General features: G+C 41.2%; 1 long non-coding RNA gene across 2 annotated transcripts in view; it reads right to left on the reverse strand.

Annotated features, from left to right (window-relative positions):
• LOC124900830 (uncharacterized) overlaps positions 1–17,497 on the reverse strand; it is a 32,841-nt gene that overhangs the window by 8,508 nt on the left and 6,836 nt on the right. For both annotated transcript variants that reach the window (XR_007058420.1, XR_007058419.1), the window contains exon 2: positions 13,696–13,903. This is a non-coding gene — a long non-coding RNA (uncharacterized LOC124900830). The remainder of the gene's footprint in view (positions 1–13,695; positions 13,904–17,497) is intronic.

Raw genomic sequence — 17,497 nt, forward strand, 5'->3', positions numbered from 1 at the left:
TCTGCAGGGAAGACCTGGTTGGGACAAGGGAAGAGCAAAGGGAGGAGCAAAGGGCGGATCTCTGATGGTCCCCAGCTGGGCAGGAGTTGCTCACGCCCCACCCTGCCCCTGAGCGTGTCCTTGGACACTTCCCCCCACTGCGGCTGGCTCTGCGCCTCCCGGAGTCACCCTTGATCACCATCTCCCATGAATCTAGCTATGACAGCTGGCTTCACCTTTTGGAAAGGGTCTTCTCTATGCATTGTGTCCACACCCATATCCAAAGTGGAGTGGGGCTAATTGCTTGCTTAGGTTTCAAGTAGTCACAAGCATTTGTAAACCAGGTTTGTGGTTTTTAAAAATTTTGTGGGCTTCTTCGTGTGTTTATTTTCTTTCACTGAGTCCCAGGTTCCAGAAACCGCGCACAGAACTCCAGCCTGCACATAGTTCTCAGGCCTGCCTGATGGCCTGGCTTTTGGGATCCATCCCTCTCTTTATTGTAAAGGCACCAGTTCTGAGGCCATGGGAAACAGTGAGCTTATAGGTAGAGGTAACACCCCTAATCGGATCTTTTTGGCTTTGGCTTAACAGTAGGCCTTTAAGAAAGGCTCTGAAAACCAAGTTATGTATCTACTGCCATTGAGAGCACAGAAGCAGGAGGGATTTCTAGCCCCAGCCCCATCTGCTTTCTTCCATCTCTGCTTTAGAAGGAGCTAGTTCTTGCCTGTGTTTATTTATCTTGTAAAACCTCCCTAACGCAGCGAGGTCGAGCAACACAGATCCACACTCTGGCACCACGGCTCCGGGTTTGGTCGGTACACGTTGTCTGCCTCTCAGGTTATCACAGGGCACAGTCTTCCAAACATTTCACTCACAGGGCACAGTCTTCCAAACATTTCACTCACAGGGCACAGTCTTCCAAACATTTCACTCACAGGGGACAGTCTTCCAAACGTTTCACTCACAGGGCACAGTCTTGCAAACATTTCACTCACAGGGCACAGTCTTCCAAACGTTTCACTCACAGGGCACAGTCTTCCAAACGTTTCACTCACAGGGGACAGTATTCCAAACGTTTCACTCACAGGGCACAGTCTTCCAAACGTTTCACTCACAGGGCACAGTCTTGCAAACGTTTCACTCACAGGGCACAGTCTTGCAAACGTTTCACTCACAGGGCACAGTCTTCCAAACGTTTCACTCACAGGGCACAGTCTTCCAAACGTTTCACTCACAGGGCACAGTCTTGCAAACGTTTCACTCACAGGGCACAGTCTTGCAAACGTTTCACTCACAGGGCACAGTCTTGCAAACGTTTCACTCACAGGGGACAGTATTCCAAACGTTTCACTCACAGGGGACAGTATTCCAAACGTTTCACTCACAGGGGACAGTATTCCAAACGTTTCACTCACAGGGGACAGTATTCCAAACGTTTCACTCACAGGGCACAGTCTTCCAAACGTTTCACTCACAGGGCACAGTCTTCCAAACGTTTCACTCACAGGGGACAGTCTTGCAAACATTTCCCCGCGCATAACAAGGCTCACTGGTTCCCTACCCTGAAATAAACATGCCTTCCTCTGCTGCCTCCTGGCCGCTTACTCAGTGGACAGGTTCTAGGTCCTGTTGTGTCAGCATCCGAGTTGCAGGTGGTGGTTCTGGCTCTATCAGTTGCAGGGAAACTAAGCTGCCGATATAAAGAGGTACCATGATACCCCGAGTTAAAATAGGGTGACGTGTAATTCACTTGGACAGCGAAAGGGAATGCCATTTAAAATGATGCCAAGACAACAGACGTAAAACAAATTGAAACCATGTTCATGCTATTTAAAAACCAACGTTTCTTTCACTGTCACGTAAGCGCACTGCGGTGAGGGGTCTGAATTGACGGTGTGGCCCTCTCCATGGGGGCATTCCAGGGAACCAGCTCCTTCCATCTTCTTTTCCTCCATTCCCTGGGGTGTTTTCCCCAGGGTCCAATAGGACCTCAGCATTTTAGAGAGAGACAGACAGAAAGTATGGAAGGGTGCTTGCCCGATACTTGAAGGCCAGGACCGGGAGTGGCAAACATCACTTTATTCTCATGTCATTGGTGAGAACCGTTGCATCGGTTCTGCAAGGATGACTTGGAAATGTGGTATCTGACTGGGCAGCCATGGGCCCAGCAACAAGGGTGGTTGCTCTGGAGTAAAGGGAGGGAGGTTTAGCTGGATATCCAGAGTCCTCCATCAGGAACTCTTTCCTCATTTGTAATTTAAGGATAAAATACCCAGAGTCTGTAGGCTTTCATAACTTCCTTCAGATGGTATCTACATGTTTATTAACTTCATTCACTCATTAAAGAACCCGGCTTGGAAGTCTCCAGGGCCTGAAGCTTTAACCTAACTTTTGACATATGTGGGCTTCCATCATTACTTTTCCTATTCATGCTTAGTTTTGTAGTATTTCGGTAGTGTACTATTTTTTATACAAATTGACCTCCCTCTTTCTGTAAGCACTGACATTATTCTCAATTATTAAATGGTACAGCCTTTATCATTATATTAGTCAGAGATTCCCAACTTTGCTTATCAAAGAAAAATTATTTTTTATCCTTCTCTTTTCGTTAATTCCTTAACTATATGTTCATATTTTCCCTGATTGTGCCTAAGACTTGAGCTACTGTCTTAAGAGCAGTCAGCATCCAAGTGTTCTCTGTAGTATTTTATTGCTTGGAAAAATGTTACTGAATCTTACCTAACAAGAATAATGATTAAATAGTTTTGCTTCCTTTTTTGGTGGCAATGCAAACACCTCTTTTGGTGGTGGACTCCAGCCCTTCTTTGTGCCCGGCGGCGATGACGGCTGATCGGACTCTTCCCTTCCCTGGGAATGAGTTTCCCACCGCTTTTCACTGCTCACATCATTAACTTTGGTGCTTAGGGATTTACTAATTGAAGCCTTGACAATCTCCTACTGTTAGAGAGGCTTGGTTTGGCAAAACAACTTGGAGGCTGTTTTCACCAAAGAAGGATGACTTATGTGCTCATCATACACAGAAGGTGCTGGGTCTCAGCCCTTAGTACTTCTCAATCCTTCAACATTCCACATTTCAAATCCAGTATTAAGAATATAAGTCCCCACTGTCCCCCGAAATCTTGGGGTAAGTAAGTGCGGAGCAATCGCCTGCTTCGAGATGCTTTTTCCCAGTTGTTTATCTTCTCTAGGGCACGTTACCTAGCCTTGAAGTCAATTAACTCTTCCAGAAAGCTAGCATAGCATTTCGACTGGGCCACCACTGCAGTGGCCTGAAAGAGTCACTGTGCTTTATAAAAGTTAGGAGTTTTAGAAGAAGATAGCTGGGGGAATTTGTCTCACTGTGGGATCAATCGCTGAGTGAGATAATTCTCTTTGCATAAAAACTGCCTTGAGGTGAAAATGTCAACGTATGAATGTACTGTGCAAACATGAATTTATGAAAGGACTAAGTGTGAAATGAACAATTAATTAATGACTGAAGGTTGAAGGGCTCGTTTTACGCACAGATGACAGTGGTTGTGAAGATGACACCGGAACATGCACTTCCGACTGGGCTGTTGTATTTCCACGAAACACTATCAGAAGGACGATGGAGCTTTCTTCTTCTTTTCGGATTTTCCTAATACAGTATGTAAAAATAAAGCCTTTCATGGGAATTAAAATGAAAGAGTCCTTTCAGAGTCCCAAAAACACTACCCAAACCCTGCCAAGATTAATACGGTCAAACTTTCCATGAAAAGCATAATTTCATGGGAGTTAGACTTGTTCAGATGTGTACAAAAAATACCTGTTGAGAACTCCTTTCTGATCAAAACACCATATGAAGGTAAATTTGGTTGATCATATCACACCATTCATATTACCTTTGGTGTTGCTATGATAGCTTTTGTCCATGTCAAAGGTTGAAGTTTTGTTTTTTCTAGTTTAACATCAAACATACAATAATGTGCATTTATAAGTCTTTATATGTTTATGTCGTGCTTCCTCATGTCTGAGCTAGGTTTGTTAGATACTGTGTCTTTCTCCAATTTTTAACAAGGAAGAAAGTGAAGCACAGAGAACTTGCGTGACTTAAACCAAAACCATATAGCAAGTAAATGTGAACTCATATTGAGGGCTCCAAATCTATTGTTTTTCTGTCTACTAAAATACTTCTACAGTATACCACGATTTTAATAAAACTGGATGATGTGAAACAATGGGTTGCATTTAGCATAGCTGTAGCCAGAGACGGCACTTTTTCCTAATGCTGTACCTTCGTCTTCAGAGCCTGTGCTGGCCACTCGCGTGGGGAAGAAAACAAAGCTCCTGGAAACGAGGTCACCTCCAGACTTGCATTCTCTGGGCCTGCCCAGGAGAGCTAGAAGCGACCAGGGTGCTTTTGGGAACTGTGCTGCCTTTGAGAGATAGCATCGCTGTAAGCAACACTGCTGTCTCATTAGCACAAATTCGAATCTGGCTTTGTGCGAGATTTTCCACTCAGTCCTTGGTTATTGTCCTTTGGTGGAGAGATCTGGCAAATGAGATTTGAGTGACCTCATTCCTCTAAAACACCAGCTTAAGTCAGAAATTGAATTCTGCAAAATGGAAATGGCTTGAGGGCAAAGCAAAGTATGAAGACTGGACCAGTCAGGGAGGCTGCTAGAGGGAACAAATATAATGTGGCTCTCAGGATTGGATTTGGCTTCCTTTTTAAAGATCAATTAACAGGTGGTGTCGTTCCAGGTAGACCGGTTCGAAAAATAATTTACCAAATACAGAAGTATTAGATTCCAGATTACGTACAAAATACAAAAGACTTGATTCATATTCTAATTGAATTTTCCATAATACCTGAAGGTAAAATAAACTTCAAAAACATCACTAATATACTGACTTAATTAAAAAGCAAGATTATATCCTGAAAATATCCTAGAATAATAGTGCCTCAATTGTAATTGGATGTGCCGTGTCATATCTCCTCTATAATTAGATCAGAATTGTCAAAAATAAAGGGTCAATCTGAACACTTTACTGCTGTTAAAGACAGACACAGACACACACACTCATAAAAAAAGATAGCAAATGAGTTTAAAGCATGTATAGATCTATGGAAGAAGTAACAATGTCTGTGGTAAATTTATATGTAACGTAAATCATCATACAGAAATGAGTTTCCTTCTTGCAAAAAATAAACAAAATTGTGGTGCTTTAATGCTCTTCTGTGATTAAAGGGACGTAGGCTAAGGAGCCACGTAGACTTAGGTTCATATCTCAGGCCTGTAAATATCTACATGGCCTTAGGCAAATTTCTTAATCTTCTTGAGTCTCAATTTACTCATCTGCGTAATAGGCTTGGTGATAACTGAGGTAAGCAGTGCTTGACCTTCAGCAGGTATTCCATAACGGTACATTCCTGACCTTTCTAACCTTGATATGATCGTTGCAGGTGGTGGAGTACATTTTGGCATCTACTACCTGTTTTGCTGGCAGGGTAGAACTTTGTAAGTCAAATGCTATTAATTAGTATCCTGTAATATTTCTAACAATCATATTTTTTGCAATTTAAACTTTATGGAATATACATTTACATTTTAATTTTGTCACTTTCCGCTGCATGTTCACAGATTGAGTCATTATGAACTACTGACTTTTCCGTAGTTTTGCAAATGATTTTAAAAAATACTATTCACAAACATTTTTTGCCCATCTGCTAAATTTTCAACACTTTCGACTTGCTTTATTCAGTGTTCAAGTCATAAACTTCTTAGTTGTTTGGCAAAGATAGATACCTGAAATAAATGAACATTGTATTGTAACCAAGCAGAGTGATACACTCTTTTAAAAATACTTTTTATTTTTTAAATTGACACACAATAATGATATATATGTATGGGTACATAGTGATGTTTCAATACATACAATGTACAATGATCAGATCGGGGTAATTAACATATCTGTCACATCAAACATTAAGTATTTATTTGTGTTGGGAACATTCGATAACCCCTCTCCTAGCTATTTGAAAATATACAATGAATTTTTGCTAACTATAGTCAGCCCACAGTGATACAGAAACTAGAACTAATTCCTCCTATCTAGCTGTAACTTTGTATCCTTTAACCAATCTCTCCCTATCAATAACTACTATTCTACTTTCTACTTCATGAGATCAACTTTTTTAGCTTCCACATATGACAACATGTAGTGTTTATCTTTCTGTTTCTGGCTTGTTTCATTCAGCATAATGACCTCCAGTTCCATCCATGTTTCTGTGAATGACAGAATGTCATTCTTTTTATGCCTGAATAGTATTCCATTGGGTGTGTGTCTGTCCGTGTGTGTGTGTGTGTGTGTGTATACATGCACACCATATTTTCTCTGCCCATTCATCTGTTGATGAACACCCAGGTTGATTCTATATCTGGACTATTGTGAACAGTGCTGCGATAAACATGGGGATGCAGGTATCTCTTAATATACTGATTTCTGCCAAGTGTGGTGGCTCATACCTGGAATCCCAGCACTTTGGGAGGCTGAGGTGGGTGGATCACTTGAGGTCAGGCATTTGAGACTGGCCTGACCAACATGGTGAAACCCTGTCTCTACTAAAATTACAAAACTTAGCTGGGCATGGTGGTGCATGCCTGTAATCCCAGCTACGCAGGAAGCTGTGATAGGAAAATCCCTTGAACTTAGGAGGCAGAGGTTGCAGTGAGTCGAGATCACACTACTGCACTCGCACTCCAGCCTGGGCAACAAAAGTGAAACTCCGTCTCAAAAAAAAAATTATATATATATATATATACACACTGATTTCCTTTCCTGTGGATATATGCCCAGCAATGGGATTGCTAGATCATATGGTAGGTCAACCTGTAGCTGTTTGAGGAAACTTTAAATTATTCTTCGTAGTGGCTGAACTAGTTTACATTCCCACCAACAGTATATAAGAGTCCCCTTTAACCCTCAGCAGCATTTGTTGTTTTTTGTCTTTTTGAAAATTGCCATTGTAACTAGAGTGAGGTGATATCTCATTGTGGTTTTGATTTGCATTTCCCTGATGATTAATGATGTTGTGGATTTTTTCATATACTTATTGGCCATTGTGTGTCTTCTTTAAATAAATGTCACGAGCCCAGGAAGTGAAGGTTGCAGTGAGCCAAAATCATGCCACTGCACTGCAGCCTGGGCAACAGAGACAAACCCTGTGTCAAAAAAAAGAAAAGAGAGAGAAATGTCTATTCATACATATCCTTGTCCACTTTTTTATGACATTATTTGTGTTGTTTTAAACTGTTGAGTTGTTTGAGCTCCTTGTATAGTTTGAATATTAGTCCCTTATCAAATGAATAGTTCACAAATATTTTCTCCCATTCAGCAGGTTGTCTCTTCACTCTGTTGATTGCTTTCTTTGATGTGCAGAAGCTTTTGAGTTTAATATAGTCCTATTTGTCTATTTTTGTTTTTATTGCCTGTGCTTTGGAGGTCTTAGCCATAAAATTTTTGCCTAAACCAATGTCATGCAATGTTTCCTCTATGCTTTCTTCTAGCAGTTTTACAGTTTCAGGTCAGCCATTCTAGCATTTAATCCATTTTGAGTTGATATTTTGTATATAATGAGATATATGGGTCTAGCTTCATTCTTCTGTGTGTGGATATCCAGTTTTTCCAACATTATTTATTAAAGAGACTGTCCTTTCCCCAATATATGTTCTTGACACTTTTGTCAAACATCAGTTGGCTGTAAATACCTGAACCTATTGCTGGATCCTCTATTTTATTCCGGTGATCTATGTGTCTGTTTTTATACCAGCACCGTGCTGTTGTAGTTACTACAGCTTTGTAGTATATTTTGAAATCTGGTAGTGTGATGTCTCCAGCTGTGTTCTTTTTGCTCAGAATTGCATTGGCTCTTAGGTATTCTTTGTGGTTCCATATGAATATTAGGATTGTTTTTTCTCTTCTTGTGAAGAATATTATTGGTAGGGATTTCATTCAATCTGTAGATTGCTTTGGGTATAGTCATTTTAACAATATTCATACTTTCAGTTGACGAACATGGGCTGTCTTTCCATTTTTTGTGTCCTCTTCAATTTCTTTCATTAGTATTTTATAGTTTTCCTTGTAGATATCTTTCACCTCGTTGGTTAAATTTATTCCTAAGTATTTTATTATGTGGGTAGCTATTGTAAATGGGATTACTTTCTTGATTTCCTTTTCAGCTAATTCATCACTGGTGTACAGAAACACTGCCAATTTTTGGTATGTTGATTTTGTATCCTGCAACTTTACTGAATTTGTTTATGAGTTCTAAGAGTTTTACGGTGGAGTTTAGGTTTTTCCAAATGTAAAATCATGTTGTCTGCAGAAATGGACAATTTGACTTCCTCCATTCTAATTTAGATGACTTTATTTCTTTTACTTGCCTAATAGCTCTGGCTGGGACTTCCAGTATTATGTTGAATAAGTATGGCGAGAGTGGGCATTCTTGTCTTATTCCAGTTTAGTATGTTGTTAACTGAGGTTTTGTCATATACAGCCTTTATTGTGTTGAGATATGTTTCTTCTATACCTAATTTTTTAAGAATTTTCATCCTGAAAGGTTGTTGAATTTTACCAAATCCTTATTCTGTGTCTATTGAGATGATCATGTGGTTTTGTCCTTCATTGTGTTGATGTCATGTATCATAATACACTCTTATTTAGTAAGAATGAGATCATGACTCTATCTGATTTTAGGAGCCACATTCTCTGAGCTGACAGCATAACTGTTTAGAACATGAAAAATAAGAATTCAGACAAACTGATCACTCATAAACATGAGACTTTAAGTTCTAAATTTTTTTCTGATATGTTAATATTGGAGGAGTTTTCAGGTTTCAGAATCTTGGCCATTCACATTTCATGTTATCAGAATAAACAAATTCCATAGAAACTTTAGGGCTGAATCATATTTCACATAATGTCACCAACCCAATCAACATCTGAATGCATGTTTTAATGTCTAAGTTTTCTTGCAATGGCTTCTATTTAAAATTTACAAAGCTGTTTTATTTCTGCTGACGTGTAAAACTCTAGGCTTTGCTTCTCAACCACTTCCTTCACACCCACAAAAATCTTAGATTTTTTTTTTCTTTATTCTCTAGGTTCTAGGTCTGTTAATGCTTTCAGACATCCAATTAAATATACTGACTTTTTTACATAATCATTCATATCATGGCAATATTGGCTTTGCCCTGTAAAATCTGCCTTATGTATAACTCTGTATAAAACAAAATCATATACAATGATTTATGAAACATTTTAGATTTTTCATTAAGTTTTAAGTAGCAAACTAGTATGATTAACTGTGGGTAAAGCAGGACTAAATCCAATCACCCTAAACAGACTAACATCTCAATGATTGAAAAAAAGATTCAATTTGTATTGAGAAGATCTGTTCTTTTGTTTCCCCTATCCCATCACTTCCTTTGATGACAGCATCTTGATTTTCTTCAGCAAGCCACATCGTTCCTCTTCACTTCCAGACCATGTGGTTTTGGGGGTGCTGATGCCAACTCCAGGCTCTAGTTAATCCTGGTCTGGACCATTGGCATATCCCAGACCTCTGGCTTCGGTGATTGGTTTAAGGATGGTCACATGACCCAAGGTGTTCAGGGGAGAGTTGACCACAGGATGTTAGTTGAACCATTGAGAAAACAATGAGCTTCCTTTCCTACCAGGCTGCTAAACTGCCATAAGGTGAGCTTGGGGAAGTGAAAAACTTCTCGCCACCATGTCGGGAACCTGTCCTAGAGGGAAGTCCACATCTTGAAAACCAGAGCTGAGACATAAAGACGAGGTCCGTACAACAGCATTTGATTTGGGTATCTGGGACTTTTCAAATAATGTGAGGCAACATATTCCTTTTTTAGTTGGCTGGTTTGTTATAGCAATTTTTAATGGGATTTCTGTCCCTTGTAACCAGAATAATCGTGATCAACATCACAGTCTTTTAAGAGATCTGAAGGAAACTACATTCCTCAGAATCCTTAAGCATAGATCAAATAACAACATAAAGAAAATTCGAGTAATTTAAATTGCTGCTTTGTGCTTTGATCTATCTGAAATGTCCTCGACCCAGCCTACTAAGATAATGTTGTCAATTATCCTGACATTCCTCTTTGTTGAAATAAAGATGCTTTTCTTCAGAACCTCACTTTAGCCCAGAAGCAAGCTGACAAGCTTCAAGGAAACTTAAATTGGCATTAAATTTAAGGTGCTTGCAATTCACGTGACTGTATCCCAGGGCTTGGAGTCTGCCATGCGTGAGTTTCCTCCTCCAGCCATGCTGGGCTGCACCCCATTGCCTGCATGTGGCGTCCCCTTCCCACTTATTGACCTTCACACACATGGTTCCGTCCACCAAGAATGCTCTTTGCTCTTCTTTGGATCTAATTAACTTCTATTTATTCTTCACATTTCAGTTCCAAAAACCATTGCTGGCCTCTGGATTTAATGAAGTCCTCTGTTGGCAATCGAATGCCTAGTATGTCTTCTTAGTCCTGTGCCTATTCATAATTAATTTGTGGTTATTCGTTTAATGTTTGTCTTCTCTGAAGGAAACTGCATTCCTCAGAGTCCATGAGGAGTTTGCTTACCACTGCCTTCCAGCACCCAGCCCAATTCCTGGACACAGAACATACTCAGTAATAATTTCCCTGTAACATACACAGCCTAGAGTCACCGTATTTATTGCAAAGACTTATTCTACTCTGAAGCCCTGACTTAGCTCAGCCTATTGCTACTCCAGTACATGTATTGGACAGGGAGCTGGACCCCTTCTTTTGCTCCTTTCTAATTGATCTTTCCTTGCTTCTGGGATCTCTCCAAACTCTCTTTTCCCAAGACATTCACTGCTCATTTAATGCACTGTAAATGATAGCTGTATTTTGAGGCGTATACCTATATGACACATTTCTGAGTAGATATAGTAAATTTTTGTCATGAATTCCATATTTTCTTTTTATTTATTTATTTATTTTTTTTTTTTTGAGACAGAGTTGTGCTCTTGTCACCCAGGCTGGAGTGCAGTGGTGCAACCTCAGCTTACTGCAACCTCCGCCTCCAAGGTTCAAGTGATTCTCCTGCCTCAGCCTCCTGAGTAGCTGGGAATATAGGTGCCCGCCACCACACCCATCTAATTTTTGTATTTTTAGTAGAGACAGGGCTTCACCATGTTGGCCAGGCTGGTCTCGAACTCCTGACCTCAGGTGATCCACCCACCTCAGCCTCCCAAAATGCTGGGATTACAGGTATGAGCCACTGTACCTGGTGGAATTTCATATTTTCTTATGCATAACAATGATCTCTATTAGAATCCTGGTTTGGGGACATCCAATGATATTTAGGTGCCCTTAGTACTTAGTACTTTAGTAGACTGACCTAGGAACTTTAGCAGCTGACCTAGGAACAGCACTTTCTTCCTTCCAAGAGTAGTGCAGTCATGGTATCAGGGTGAGAGAGGCTAGACTGTAGCCTGGCCCCCAGAGGACCAGATCAGCTGCTCACAGAATCCAGGGTGGACAGTGTGGCCTGATCCATCTGGGCTCCATGAAGATCATCAAGGGAGAAGGTTCCCCACTGCACCTTCCATCACAAACCTGAGAATGGCCTCTTCACTGATATTTCATAACTTCAAATACATATAAAATGAATATATTTAATATATACTCTACAATCTATGAATAAGATAAATTTTCTCCTGATTCTTCCCCAAATATTTAGCCATTTTTTAAAATGCTAAAATGATGCCATAATAAAGAAATGTAAGAATAGGCCAGGTGCAATGGCTCGCGCCTATAATCCCAGCACTTTGGGAGGCTGGTGGGGGCAGACTGCCTGAGGTCAGGAGTTCGAGACCAGCCTGCCCAACATGGTGAAACCCCGTCTCTACTAAAAATGCAAAAATTAGCTGGGCGTGGTGGCGGGCACCTGTAATCCCAGCTACTTGGGAGACTTGAGGTAGGAGCACTGCTTGAACCCAGGAGACAGAGGTTGTAGTGAGCCGAGATCTCACCACTGCACTCCAGCCTGGGGGACAAAGCAAGGCTCCATCATAAAAAAAAAAAAAGAATAAAAGTTGGAAAACTTCAAACCATCTAGATTGCAGTCTCATTTTACCCATATAACTTATGTAATCCCAGCCATCTCTTCAATTTTCCAATCTTTAAATTGTGGGAAACCATACTGAACTTTTATGTATAATAGCTAATTGCAAGCCTAAGTGTCTATACTAAATAATAAAGATAAACGGTGGTTTTCCTACCTTCTCCATAGGCGAGCCCACAAACTATCCCGACAATATATTTTATGTCGAAATCATGCCAGTGCTTCTCTATATCCCTTCCCCGATCCATTGCAATGCAGTCTGTCGCTTGCAGCATACTGATGATGTAAGAACCTATTTCTGAGCATCTCTTGCAGAGTCCTCATAAAAAATGGCCGCCACTTTGGGGATGACTTTCCCATTTAACTCTTCTTAAAATACTCTGAGTTTCTTCTAATGATTTTAAGCATTGATATTTAGAAATAAAAATTTTCAAGATGACTTCTGGAATTTCCTTCCTTTTGTAAGAGCAATTTTAAAAGATACCATTTCGATTCCATATCAGACATTTTGCCGCTTCCAATGCAACATCTGGGTTTGTGTGTGTGATCAAGAATGACAGCTGACGTGTCACTGCACTGATTTTGACGTTCGTGAATACAGAAATCATCACAGACTTGGACAATGTATGTTGGGTGGTAGTGGTATGATCTGTAACATTCACCTATGCATGTTTTTACCACTTTTTTAAAAATGTAAATAAAGTGAATAACAAGGGAGGTAGATTATGATTTTTAAAAATGTAATGGGAGCATCATAAAACACTCTGAACTTTATTTTTTTCTTTACCATTTTCACCACCACCTACTAGGCTTAAAAGTATTCTCCACTCTATGTGGAAGGTCATGTCTATACCCACAACATTGAAAGAACTTCTCCCCAATCAGCTGACTAATTACGATTTACCTGATGCATTAATGTGGCACGTGTATCCTGTGACATGTAAGTAGAATTAAGGCAGTAGAACTTTAAGAAGTTAATAGATCTGCAAACTTTGCCTCAGGCTTTTGCAATCAGAAACTCAGGGTTTGCTGGAGCTCTACAAAGGATTTTGACATAGCCTGAGGTGAGAACCATGAAAATGTGTTCTGTTATGGAGGAATGTGGTAAATGTCCTACACGGGTTAGCTTCATCATGTGCCCCAGAGCTGACCTGAGCTGTCCGGTGGGTACCTAGTTCAACAGCAGCCCAGGCCTGCGGTTGCAGCCCTGCATGCACCCTGCATTACCTGCGCGCTTTCAAACACTGCTGGGCACAGCCCTACCCTAGACCATGTGTACACACCACGGTTATTGGTCTTCACCGTGCATCAGAATGGTCTGCAGAGAGTTTAAAAACAACAGGTGTGTGAGACCCACTGCTTGGAGACTGTGTTTCACATGGTCACGGGTGGGGTCCAGGTGTTCATATATTTTGGAAACCGGGTTGGTGATTTCAATGAGCAGCCATCATTGAGTAACACTGGTGTGTGTCCGTGTGTGCACACACACGCATAGGCAGTATAAACACGTATGTTAACATGGGCTCCACTGCAGCCTCGGCTGAGCGTTAAACATGGACCTACCTGTGTGACTGGCTTACTGTTGAGGCCACCGGAGATCTCTTCACGTAAAGGAGCCCAGTGCGAGCGAAGAAGGACTCAGGCAGCTGAAGCCGCTGGGAACAAAGCCTTCATCATGGGGGTGGGAGGCGTCGTGCACCTGAGTGCAGCAAGGCACCTGCCTTTCAGCTCCGTCCCCACATCCACAGACTTGGTCCTGGGAGACGGACATCTTTAAAGAAAAAAGAAAAAAAACTCAGTGACTTGAGGTTGCACTAGCCAACAGAAAGGAACATGGAGTTACGAAAGCGACATGCTCCTCACTTCTCCACAGATGACCTTTCATTTGCTTTTGCAGGATGAGGCCGTCAGTGCCTTGCCACGAGTCTGAGGTGGGAAGAAAGGGTCGCAGCTCCTGGCACATGGCAGAATTAGCGAAGCGTGCCATGTGGAGGTCTGAGGTCTGCAGGTTCTGAGTAGACAGTGAAACCCACTGCTCCCGCCATCCCTTTCTCTGTCACACACACACACCTAGTGACCTTCAAAAGTGTCTCGGGAGAATTTGGCAGGATGCTCGTGTCCTGTGCCAGTGACAGCACTGTCATCACTGTTAGTGTGACCCTATCTGTTTTTCAGGCTTGTAAGGTGACCAGGAGGAACATACGTACACACACACACACACACACACACACACACACACACAAGCGTGGCCACCGTCCCATGGGAAAGTGAGGACAGGTTCACACTCTGGGGACATGGGAAGCAAAATATCACAGTGGAAGCTGCCCCCAAGCCGAAGACGTGGGACACCAAGTTCACCCGTCTCTTCCGCAACCACGAGAAGTCTAATGATGGGAAAATGGAACCAGCCCACACAGCGACACTGGAGTCACCTCTTGCACTTGTGTAAACACACACAACCAAGCTACAAGTTACATGAATTTGTTTCTGGCATTGACCAAAATCCCCCGTCTCTGGGAACTGGTGAACACAGTATCTGGGATGATATTTCTGACCCTATATTTCTGACCTATATATTTTTTTCTTCATGTTTCTCTTTTTAAAAATTCTTTGTCTCTTCCAATGAGTTTATAATGGGCTAGCCACTTTCTTGATAAAGGGCATTTATTACAGCTATAGAAAAATCTGGTTTCTCTGTCTACAGATAGTAAGTCACATCTCAAGCAGTGAATGTCTCCTTACAAATTTGCCTCTAGCCGGTTATGTGTGATGCTGAAACTGAAGATCTGTCACCCTCCAGAACATCTACAGGATGAATGCCTCCCACAGTGGCTAGTCAGCCAGAATTGTCTCCTCCCCACGTGAACTGTGGCCAGGCACAAACATCTGGCAATGGCCCTAAGTTGTGATGAGAAGAAAGTCACTGTTTAATGCTTTCTGAAAATTTCCCTCTCACTTTGCAGAAGATGATGACTTGTTACTTCCTAAATTTCGCAGTTGGGAACCCTGGTTTTCCCATCCAGGTTTTGCTGTTTAACTCTCCAGGCTGTAAATGCAAAGAAAGGAGTCAGAGTTAAATGAGTGCCTCCTGTGGGATGTTTTAGAAAGAATTCAATGAATTCAATTCCGTAAGAAGGTCTGCAGTTTTATCATTTAAATCATCAAGTCTATACATTAACAAATTTGGGATTAAACACTCCAGGTGTATGATATAGAGGGGACTTGTTTTCCAAGCCCTCTGTGAAAGACATGCCAAATGCTTACATTTTTTAGCATGAGATTTTCTTTATTAAAGGAAACCAGCTTAAACACTTTCAGAAAATAATCTCGAACAACAAAGAAAACTGATTTACCTTGTGTTTCCCTACTGTTTTCTGCAATCGCTTGCCGTACTAAAAGGGACAGACGGTGCTTTTAACAGAGTTTGTGAAAAGGATGCACTATCTCTTCAAGGTTTAAGGCCCTCTGTTATTTCCACTATTATTTTAATGATCTACAAAATTCATATGGATTCCACATAGATTAACCAACACCTTCCTCACTAGTTCATTCCAATGCCACATGTAAATATTCATGTGAATTCAACCAACTGATCAAATGTAAGAACTTGATGTTCTTTAATTTTGTTTTGCTTTCCTCAGATTTATTTCTGAGAATCTAGGGACATAGAATATGCTAGTTTGGATGGCTGTGGATTTGATTAAAGATTTAAAATAAAAGAAGACCTAATAAATATTTTATTTTCTTCTTACACACACACAACCCTTTTACTCGATTTTTTATTGTACCCAAAGACATAAGGAACAGATGAAATGATATATGGGACCCTCCCAACACTGGGTGCCACCGATTTTATGAAATGTATCATTGATCACTGATCATAATCAGATGCACAATTCTACCCTAATTGGAAATACAGAACAGAGCACTCAGTCAATAAAAATTTGAGAGCACATTATTTAAACTCATAAAATACCTAGAATTTTTGCTCTTCAATTATTAATAAGGAAATGTCATGATATTCAAATGATAAGAGATTTCTTTGAAAAGTTTTTTTTGTTTCGTTTTGTTTTGTTTTTTTTAAGAGATGGAGTTTCCTGTTGCCCAGGCTGGAGTGCAGTGATGCGATCTCGGCTCACTGCAACCTCCGCCTCCTGGGTTCAAGCGATTCTCCTGCCTCAGCCTCCCGAGTAGCTGGGATTACAGGTGCCCACCACCACGCCTGGCTAATTTTTTGTATTTTTTAGTAGAGACAGCATTTCACCATGTTGGCCAGGTTGGTTTCGAACTCCTGACCTCAGGTGATCCACCCGCCTTGGCCTCCCAAAGTGCTGGGATTGCAGACATAAGCCACTGCACCCGGCCTGAGAAAGTTCTAAACCCACTATTTCCCAGATATATAATTTGGTCAGCGCATGTGTCCTATTATTTGAAGTTTGATCCATCACAGTAGGGATGACAGTTATTAATGTTGCATTGAATTCATGGAAGTGTCAGAAAAAGCAATGCTTGGAAGCCAGTTGTTCTGTGAGTTTGTGTCTTTCCTCTCTGCCTCTGCATGCGATCTCACCGCCCATGTTAAATGGATGTCACCCTTTCTCCTCCTTGGATTCAACCTGCTTACCCTGGGCTAAGGGAGCCACAGAATGGCCAGTGCGGGAACTGTGTGACTCAGTCTCGGTCCCATCTCCTCGTCTCTGTCCTCTCAGATCACACATAGTCCTGTTTCAATCACTAATCGGGAACAGCTCTGTTAATTCCACTATAGAATTCTTCTTTCTCACAGTTACTCAGTCAGTAGCGTTTACTGAGTATCTCCTGCATCCTGGGCACTTCTCCACTCCAATGTGACAGCAGTGAATCAAACGACAGCTAGCCCTGCCCGCAGGCACTTGCATTCCAGAGAGAGGAGACAAAGAATACAAAACTAAAAATATAAAAGACGATGTGCCACACGTTGGAAAGCGATACATACTCTGGAGGTGAGTAAAACATGAAGACAGAAATATGACTACAGTGAGATAATTTTACCCTCAAAATCTAGGGAAATTTGTAAAAGAGAAGGGATAAGAAATAAAAAAATGGCAAAATGTCACATTCACAGCAAGAACTTTCCTGGTTCAATTCATTTATATTTTTACTTAAGTTTTAATTTTTTTTTTTTTTTTGAGATGGAGCCTCGCTCTGTCCCCCAGGCTGGAGTGCAGTGGCACGATCTCGGCTGCCTGAAGCCTCCACTTCCCAGGTTCAAGCGATTCTCCTACCTCAGCCTCTTGAGTAGCTGGGATTACAGGCATGCACCACCACATCCCGCTAATTTTGTATTTTTAGTAGAAACGGGGTTTCACCATGTTGGCCAGGCTGG

Source organism: Homo sapiens, chromosome 4 (assembly GCF_000001405.40).
Source record: "Homo sapiens chromosome 4, GRCh38.p14 Primary Assembly".
Taxonomy (NCBI): Eukaryota; Metazoa; Chordata; class Mammalia; order Primates; family Hominidae; genus Homo; species Homo sapiens.